The sequence below is a fragment of the Homo sapiens genome, chromosome 16, assembly GCF_000001405.40.
Source record: "Homo sapiens chromosome 16, GRCh38.p14 Primary Assembly".
NCBI classification, from domain to species: Eukaryota; Metazoa; Chordata; class Mammalia; order Primates; family Hominidae; genus Homo; species Homo sapiens.
In genome coordinates, this window is record NC_000016.10 from 58,214,656 (window position 1) to 58,224,548 (window position 9,893).

Here is a 9,893-nt window from a genome sequence, read left to right on the forward strand (position 1 = left end):
CTGGGAGCGGTGGTTCATGCCTGTAATCTCAGCACTTTGGGAGGCCAAGGCGGGCAGACGACCTGAGGTCAGGAGTTCAAGACCAGTCTGGCCAACATGGTGAAACCCTGTCTCTACTAAAAATACAAAACATTAGCTGCGTGTGGTGGCAGGCACCTGTAATCCTAGCTACTCGGGAGGCTGAGGCAGGAGAACTGCTTGAACCTGGGAGGCGGAGGTTGCAGTGAGCCAAGATTGTGCCACTGCACTCCAGCCTGGGCGACAAGAGTGAAACTCTGTCTAAAAAAAAAAAAAAAAGAAGAATGACCAAAATTATGTTATCAGTGGTTATCTCGAGGGGGTTTAAGGAAATTTTAAAGTTTTCTTCCCTGAGCTTGTCTGTATCTTCCAATTTTCCACAATAAATATGTATTACATTTGAGTTTTTTGACATTTTTTGAAAGAAAGCCAGCAAATAAATTTGACAGGAAACAAAACTCAAGAGTAAGTTAAGAGAAATGAAACCCTTATCTGAGCACACAGGGGAATAGAGTGCTGAGAAAGTGTGTTCTCCCCAATTAATAAATAAAGAGTTGTGACAGAAACACAAGAAGTAAAAACTGGGTTTTTACTAACTGCGTTGTAGATTGCTAAGAGGTCTTCAGATCAGTTTATAGCAGTGGTTTTCAATAGGGGGTGATTTGTTTCCCTGGGGCACATTAAGCAATGAGTGGAGACATTTTTTATTGTCACCAATGGGAAAGTGGTGGGTATCTAGTGGTGGAGGCCATGATGTACTAAACATCCTGTAATGCACAGGACAGCTTCTGCAACAAAGAATTATCTGGTCCAAAATGTCAGTGGTGCCACAATTGAGAAATCATGGTTTATAGGAAAAAAGCCAAAGGGAAAAAATCAGAATCTGAGTTGTCCACACTATAACTCTAATTATGTAAATACAGAGGCAAAGATATGGTTAAAACTATGTGCAACCCATTCCCACCCACCAAATCCTGCTCCTTGACAGCAGAGATGCCTGCCCTGCTGTCATCCCCACCCACTGGGGGATAAGGAATGATGAACGGGTACTTTTTTCTTTTTTCTCTCCTCTGGAATAGGACTTCTGTCCCTACCTTGGAACATTATGCAGCTTTCATAAAGAGTAAGATAAATCTATATATGCTGACATTGAAAGATGTCCAGAATATATTAAGTGAAAAAAAGCGAATCGTCCAATGATATGTACAGCACGATCCATTTTTGTAAAAGTAAACTGTACAAAGGGGTATGAATACTCACGTGTGTAGGGAAGCATCATTGCAGCAATCTACACTGGGGGAAAAATGGAAAACATGGCACTTTCACTTCATAGATTGAAGGCATTCATTTTTGTCTGCCCCCTCCCAAAGCCCAACCAAAATCAGAGTCAATGAACTAAAAAGGTATAAACTCACAAAAGAAACAAAATGAAGCAGAGACAGGAAAATAGCAGATGAGAGTTTTGGTTTTGGTGTTTTTTTTTTTTTTTTTTTTTGAGACGGAGTCTCTCTCTGTCGCCCAGGCTGGAGTGCAGTGGCATGATCTCGGCTGACTGCAAGCTCCGCCTCCCGGGTTCACGCCATTCTCCTGCCTCAGCCTCTCCGAGTAGCTAGGACTACAGGCGCCCACCACCATGCCTGGCTTATTTTTTGTATTTTTAGTAGAGATGGGGTTTCACCGTGTTAGCCAGGATGGTCTTGGTCTCCTGACCTCATGATCCGCCCTCCTCCGCCTCCCAAAGTGCTGGGATTACAGGCGTGAGCCACTGCGCCCGGCCGCAGATGAGAGTTTTAAACACATTTTTGGAAGGTGGAAAGCAGGTGAGTTTGGTAGAGCTGAAAATGCCTGCAGAAGGAAATATCAACCAGCAGTCAGTGTACCCGTTAGCCTGTAGTCTTTGCATGGAGAAGTGGCTTCCTTTCCTCTAGATGCTTGACATCCATCTAGTGGGAAAGTGATATAATGTGCGTTCCTCCCACCCTTTACTGCTACCTGCTGGAACATTATCATAATAAGAGGACAAAGCAAAAATGTTTACAAGGTGAATGGCACCCCTAAGATATGGTTCCACTGTGCTGCCCAACCTGCACACCTGTACAAGGGGTCTCCCCACAAGAAACAGAAAGATCTATGGACTAAAACCCCAAATGCCAGAAATTTAGTCAGAATGATGTGTTGGAGGTTGTTATGATTTGAATGTGTCCCCCAAAGACCTTGTGTTGGAAACTTAATCCCCAGTGCAACAGTGTTGGGAGGTGGGGTCTAATCAGAAGTGATTAGGTTATGAGGACTCCCTGCTCTTATGAATGGATTAATGTTATTGTCACAGGGGTGGGTTCATTACTACAAAAGTGAGCTTGTTGTAAAATCCAGTTTGTCCCCCTCTTGCTCCCATACTGTCTTGCCTTTTCACCTTCTGTCATGGATGATGGTGCCCAAAGGCCCTCACTAGATGCTTGCACCATGCTCTTGGACTTCCCAGACTCCAGAACTGTGAGCCAAATACATTTATTTTCTTTATGAATTACCAAGTCTATAGTATTCTGCTATTGCAATACAAAATGGACTAAGACAGAGGTGGAATGGGCTTGAAAACAGAAGTAAAACTAGGAACCCCATATAAGAGGTGGTGAGACCACTGTAGAGATTGTGTTTTTCAGAGATAGCCACTACAAATATCTCCCATTCCACATGCTATTCCACAGTGTGACTGTGACATTCCTCCTCTTGAGAGATATAGTCTAGGTCCCCTCCCCTTGAGTTGAGGCAGGCTCAATTCAAGTGACTCATTTGTAACAATAGAATTCAGTGGAAGTGATGGTGCATAATTTCCAAGGCTGGAACTCTCATGCTAAAACTATAAATCTCTATGTGAACAGTTTGACTGCCCTGACACTGCCATACTGTAAGGAAGCTTAAAACAGCTCATATGGAGAAACCACATGGAGAAGACCTGAGACTTCAGAGAAAGAGAGATAGATGCTTTGCCAGCTGCATGCTAATCCAGTTTCAATCATTGTTTGGCTGCAACAGCATGAGAGATCCCAAACTAGAACTACCCAGCTGAGCCCTTCCCAAATTCTTCAGCCACAGAAAGTATGAGAGACAGTAAAATCAGTGTTTTTATTTTAATTAGTTTGGGGTGATTTTTTGCATAGCAGTTATAACTGGAATAACCACTTGGATCCCCTTTCAAATCTGGGGCGCCCGGGCAACTACCCTTTCCTGACCTTGCCAGAAATTTGTTCTACAGAAAAATGAGACTTAAGGACACTAGAGGCCGGGTGCAGTGGCTCATGCCTGTAAACCCAACACTTTGGGAAGCCAAGGCGGGTGGATCACTTGAGGTCAGGAGTTTGAGACCAGCCTGGTCAACATGGTGAAACCCCATCTCTACTAAAAACACAAAAAATTAGCCAGGTGTGGTGGCAGGCGCCTGTAATCCCAGCTACTTATGAGGCTGAGGGAAGAGAATCACTTGAACCTGGGAGGTAGAGGTTGCAGTGAGCCGAGATGGTGCCATTGCACTCCAGCCTGAGCAACAAGAGCGAAATGTCATCTCAAAAAAATAAAGGACTCTAGACATGGCAGAAGGGAGGGGGAGACACTATACTAAAAACGGGGATGATATATGAAAGTCTGTGTGAACCCTAGCCCTTCCTTGGCTTTAAGGATGCTGCCAGCCAGGCACATATCCTTCCTCAGCAGGAGACTGGAGAATTATCACTAGAGAAGACTCAGAAAATTAGCCTAGATATTATGGGCCAAGCTAAGTTCTCCGCATAGAAGCAGGTGTGTGCCTTTTTAAAAAGCTAGATCTCCTGTAATCCCAGCACTTTGGGAGGCCAAGGCAGGCGGATCACGAGGTCAGGAGATTGAGACCATCCTGGCTAACATGGTGAAACCCTGTCTCTACTAAAAAATACAAAAAATTAGCCGGGCGTGGTGGCAGGCACCTGTAGTCCCAGCTACTCGGGAGGCTGAGGCAGGCGAATGGCGTGAACCTGGGAGGTGGAGCTTGCAGTAAGCCGAGATTGCGCCACTCCACTCCAGCCTGGGTGACAGAGTGAGACTCTGTCTCAAAAAAAAAAAAGTTACATCTCACTATAATTCATATTCTTACAGAAATAATGAGCTATTGCATCCATAAGACAAGAATAAGATTTTACTTTTAAAAAGGAGGGGCAGCCATTCTTGCACTGCTGTAAAGAAATACCTGATATGAGTAATTTATAAAGAAAAGAGGTTTAACTGGCTCAGAGTTCCGCAGGTTATACTGGTAGCACAGGGGCTTCTGCCTCTGGGAAGGCCTTGGGAAGATTACAATCATGGTGGTAGGCGAAGGGAAAGCAGGGACATATTTCATGGCCAGAGCAAGGAGCAAGAGAGAGATGGGGGAGATGCCACACACTTTAAACAACCAGATATCATGAGAACTCACTCACTGTAAAGTACCAAGTGGGGAAATCGGCCCCCATGATCCAATCACTTCCCTCCAGGCCCCACCTTCAACACTGGGGATTACAATTCTACATGAGATTTGGGTGGGGACACACATCCAAACCATATCAGGGTATCTTGGTTTGGGTTTCCCCAGCAGCAGACTCTGAGACAATGATTCCAGTATAAGTAAATTTTGGCAGGTATTCACAGAAAATACAAGTTGAGGATTGGGGAAGTGAGACAGGGAAGTGAGGGAAGCCAATAAAAGGTGTGCTATCCAGCCAGTTAGCGTTGTAGACAGCTGGAGCTTGATATTACTAGGAAACTCCAAGAGATGGTGTAGAACTTGCTGCAGAAGCATCCCAATCAATGGGCAATAATCCACTAACTGCTTCTAAGGGAATTGACCTTACTTTCTTCCAGCTTGTCCTGTACTCAGACTGAGGATGCTACTTGGAAGAAAACAGCCCTTGTGCAGACAGTCATAGATATTTACAGAAAATAGCCTTGGGCATCATGCAGGAGCTAATGCCAAGGATTTGTGGATAGGGCACCAACAATGTCTGCTGCAGGAAGCTACCAGAAGACAAGAAAGAGTTCTTGTAAATGAAAAATGTGAAAGTAGAAATAAAACATTCCATGGGAGTTTGAGGCAGGAAAGGTTAAAGAAATCCTTCAAAAGTAGGATAAGAAGAGAAATAGAAAGAGATAAAAATAGAAAAGAAAAATATCCAAGAGGTCCAAGGTACAACTAATAGAAATTTCAGAAAAAGAAAATACGGGGTACAGAAAATTGTTATAAGACTAATTCGTAAAATTTTTTCTCACACCTGTAATCCCAGCACTTTGGGAGGCTAAAACAGGCAGATGGCTTGAGCCCAGGAGTTCAAGACCAGCCTGGGCAACATGGCAAAAACCCATCTTTACTAAAAATAATAAAAATTAGCCAGGGATGGTAGCACACATCTGTAGTCCCAGCTACTCAGGAGGCTGATATAGTAGGATCATTTGAGCCCAGGAGGTGGAGGTTTCAGTGAGCTGTGATTGTGCCACTGCACTCCAGCCTGGGTGACAGAGTGAGACGCTGTCTAAAAAAAATTTTTCAAGAACATGACTTTCAGGTTGAAAGGAACTATCAAATGCCCAGAAAAATGAATAAAATAGAGTCACATAATCACAAAACTTCAGACTACACAAATTAAAGAGAACAGCCCAAGAACTTCTTTAAAGACAATACAGGCTTTATACACAAGATCAGGAATGAGAATGGCATTGGACTTCTCCAAATACACAATGGGAGCCCAAATGTAATGGTTTCAAAAATTCTTAGCAAAAATAATTTCCAACTCTAGAATTCTAGAATTCCAAGCCGAAGTCTCAGTCCCTCAAGTTTGAGGGTAGCATAAAAACATTTTCAGACATACAAGGTCTCAAAAAATATACTCCCATGCACCCTTTCTCAGAAAGCTACTAGAGGATCTGCTCTACCAAAAAGAAGAGAGTATCAAGAAAGAGAAAGATAAGAGACCCAGGAAATACAGAAAGCAACACAGAAGAAAGAGAGAGAGTTGTGGCTGGGCCACACAGACAGAATGAGCTTTCTGTAGTGGAGTAGGATGGCTCCAGAGCATCCTTGTGGGAAATGGAATTTCTAAATGATGTTGTGCTTGACAGTGTAGACAATAGCATCCAGAGGGGTTTTACACTTCTGTTGGAGAGTTTTAAAAGAATTTGTGATAGAAACATAGAAATCTAAGCAGGTGTAAAAAAATATTTCCCAGAGGAAATATTAAACAAAGAAAACAATGTAATCATACGTGGCTTTAGCAACAGTGGTTCTTGCTCTTGGCTAAACATTGGAATCCCTTTGGGAGTGTCAAAACATCCTGATACCTGGACCCCACTCCCAGACAGCCTGGTTGACTAGATCTAGGGTGTGGGCTGGGCTCTGAGATTGTTTAAAACTCCCTGTATGGTTCGATGTGCAGTTAAAGTACAGAACCACTGTTTGGCAGGAAAAAGTAGTTCTATGGTTACAATAATGTAAACAGGGGATACTGATTTAACTGGAAAACTATTATATGGGAATAATTGACAGACAAGTTGGTGGGGTGGTGAGTGTAAAGCATTAAATCCACTTCCACCACAGTAGGAAGGCAGTCAATCATGTCTAAGGTTGAGAAATCAAGAAATCATACATTAGCATCTTATTTGTAAATATGGAGGTAAGTACCAGAAGAAAGAGCTGAAAGTGGCAAGTCATTTTCTTTTCCCTTTTTTTTTTTTTTGAGATGGGGTCTGGCTCTGTCCCCCAGGCTGGAGTGCAGTGGCATGATCTGGGCTCACTGCAGCCTCCACTTTCTGAGTTCAAGCGATTCTCCTGCCTCAGCTTCTGGAGTAGTTAGGACTACAGGTGCCTGACCCCACCCCTCCATGCCTGGCTGATTTTGTGTGTGTGTGTGTGTGTGTGTGTGTATTTTTAGTAGAGGTGGGGGTTCACCATGTTGCCCAGACTGGTCTGGAACTCCTGGCCTCAGGTGATCCGCCTGCCTTGGCCTTCCAAAGTGCTGGAATTACAGGCTTAAGCCACTGTGCCTGGCCTGAAAGTGGCAAATCGTTTTCTTACCAGAGCAGGACTCGGAAGTGGATGTAATTGGGGGTTGATTACTGATTTTTTTCTATAAGCCTTGTATTATTTGACTTATTAATACCATGAACATGAATGAATTTGGTCAAAGTTGAAAAAAATTTTTATAAAAGATCTAAGAAAAATTGGAAACAACCTAAATATTTATCAATAAGAAAAGGATAAATAAATGTTGATATATTTATGTAAAAGAATACCATTGACATGCTTAGAGCAAGGTAGCTATGTATGTCCAACATTGCAGAGATCCTTAGACTCAGTGTGACTGGGACTGGCAAATAATAGGTGTGATATATGTCAGCATTTATATAAAACACATGTACACAAAATACAGCTTTCTATTTCCCATGGACATAGACATATGTACACATAAAAGCACATAGAGAAAGGTGAAGATAACCCACGGGCTGTGGCAAGAGTGGACTCAGGTGGTGGGTAAAGGTCAAAGCAGATTTTGCTCTGCTTCATTTTTTTTTTCCTCAAAAAAGAAAGATTTCTGTATTAGTTGCAAAATTAAATGTTAATTTTAAACATTGAATATGCATTAGACAAAATCTGGAATGTTTCCACATTGAGCTATTAATAATGGTTTCTTTGGGTGCGTGGACCGGGATGGCGGGCAGGGAGGGGACATTTTCTCTTTTTACTCTGTGTTATTCAGTAATCATAGTTTTTGTTTTACAAAGGTGATCATTGGGAAGACTTTTGAATAGAGTGGGGTTCTGGGGTCCTGATAGTTCTGGCCTGGTCCGTTTGTGTCTTCTGCTTCTGATTCCAGAGAAGGGAGGAGGGCCAGGGTTGGCAAGGGCCGGCTTGGCAAGGGCAGGCCTCAGCTCTAGGGGGATCTGGTAGAACCAGCTGTGATGTCAGAAGGGCATGTTGATAGGGTGACTCACTTTCCAGGAGGGTGGAGATGGCTCCTCTCCTCCCTTCACAGGAGCTGCCTGCGGAGCTGTCGCCTGCGGGGTGCCCTGTTTCAGCAATCCTAGAGGAGGAGTCCCTTCCAGATCAATAGAAACCAGGGACATTTCAATCCAGGCCTTTGCACAGAGTTCTCTTGCAGCCAGCCTGGGGAAGTTGTGCAAGGTTCATTGATTAGAGCAAAGGGTGAGAGGAAGGGATGGCGGAAAGTAGAGGAAGAGTCTTGGAAATGAGGCTCTGGGGGCCCTCGGGCCTAAGTGTGTTTTGGAGGGAGGGAAAGGTTTTAATGATCCCTTGAGCTTCTTTAGGGATCCTATATTTTCCAGGAGCTCCTAATTCTAGCCATTTTTAAAATTTGCTCCCCAGGACTACTTGTGAAGTAGATGGAACTGGTGTAAATATCTCCATTTTCCAGATGAGGAGACTGAGGCCCAGACAAATTAGATCATTCATCAGATGCTCAAGTTAGTAGCTGAGTCTAGTGTCCTCTCGTCCTCTCAGCCCAACCCAGAGTCTCTGTTTGCTTTTTTTTTTTTTTTGAGACAGAGTATCACTCTGCCACCCAGGCTGGAGTGCAGTGGTGCAGTCTTGGCTCACTGCAACTTCCACCTCCCAGATTCAAGCAATTCTCCTGCCTCAGCCTCCCGCATAGCTGAAATTACAGGCATGCGCCACCACACCCAGCTAATTTTTGTATTTTCAGTAGAGATGGGGTTTTGCCATGTTGGCCAGGCTTGTCTCGAACTCCTGACCTCAAGTGATTCCCCCACCTTGGCCTCCCAAAGTGCTGGGATTACAGGCATAAGCCACCGCACCCAGCCTCTCTTTGCCTTTTTATCAGCCACAGTGTCCCTCCTGAGAGAAACAGAGAGACACAACTTCCTCCAAGACAACAGCCTCCCTCCTTGAGATCCACAATTAACTCGGCAGCGAGTGCCAGACCGGCAGGGACAGAGACATGCTCAGCCCATGTTGGCCTCTCAGCCAGGCGCTGGTCCTCCAAGTCACTCCTTCCCAGAGAATCCGCCCAACGTTGGCTGCAGGGTGGTACCGTGCCCAGTGCCTTCCGTACATGATCTCATTTCAATCTTGAAACAAGCCTGTAGTGTAGGTGATATTATTATTATCACCCACGGCGAGGCTGGCCATTTGGGCAGTTTGTAACCCTGTTTTTACATTTCTCCATTTTGCTTTTTTTTTTTTTGAGACTGAGCTTTGCTCTTGTTGCCCAGGCTGGAGTGCAATGGTGCGATCTCAGGTCACTGTAATCTCTGCCTCCTGGGTTCAAGTGATTCTCCTGTCTCAGCCTCCCAAGTAGCTGGGATTACAGGTGTGCGCCACCAAGCCCAGCTAATTTTTGTTTTAGTAGAGACGGGGTTTCACCATGTTGGCCAGGCTGGTCTCGATCTCCTGACCTCAGATGATCCACCCGCCTCGGCCTCCCAAAGTGCTGAGATTACAGGCTGAACCACCGTGCCCGGCACATTTTGCTTTTAATATCCAGGAGTAAAACAACAACAACGACCAGGTCTTTCTTGATTTCTGTTTGGCTTGGTTTATTCAGCACCTGCTTATTGGGCACTTGGTCTGTGCTGCTCTCTCCTTGGCATGGGGAAAACACAGGGGACAAAAGAGATGACATCCCTGCCTTCAAGGAGCTTTTGGCCTCCTGCAGGTTGGGGTGAGACAGAAAGACCGTGAAAGTGTGTTATCACTTTTGATCTTCATAACATACTGGCGAGGAGTGGATGGGAGGTATAGGTGGTCTTCTCTAAGGTCATGCAGAAAGTGGCTGGCAGAGGACTAGAATCTTCCGTAGCCACAATGGAAACAAGAGGAATCACAAACAAGAAGGAAGGGGACA

General features: G+C 44.4%; 2 annotated features.

Annotated features, from left to right (window-relative positions):
* Nucleotides 7,990-8,284: an enhancer, noted in NCBI's record as "tiled region #11051; HepG2 Activating DNase matched - State 8:EnhW". NCBI's record gives its function as "activates a minimal TATA promoter and a strong SV40 promoter by Sharpr-MPRA in HepG2 cells {active_cell/tissue: HepG2}" and the evidence as "EXISTENCE:reporter gene assay evidence [ECO:0000049][PMID:27701403]".
* Nucleotides 7,990-8,284: a silencer, noted in NCBI's record as "tiled region #11051; K562 Repressive non-DNase unmatched - State 24:Quies". NCBI's record gives its function as "represses a minimal TATA promoter and a strong SV40 promoter by Sharpr-MPRA in K562 cells {active_cell/tissue: K562}" and the evidence as "EXISTENCE:reporter gene assay evidence [ECO:0000049][PMID:27701403]".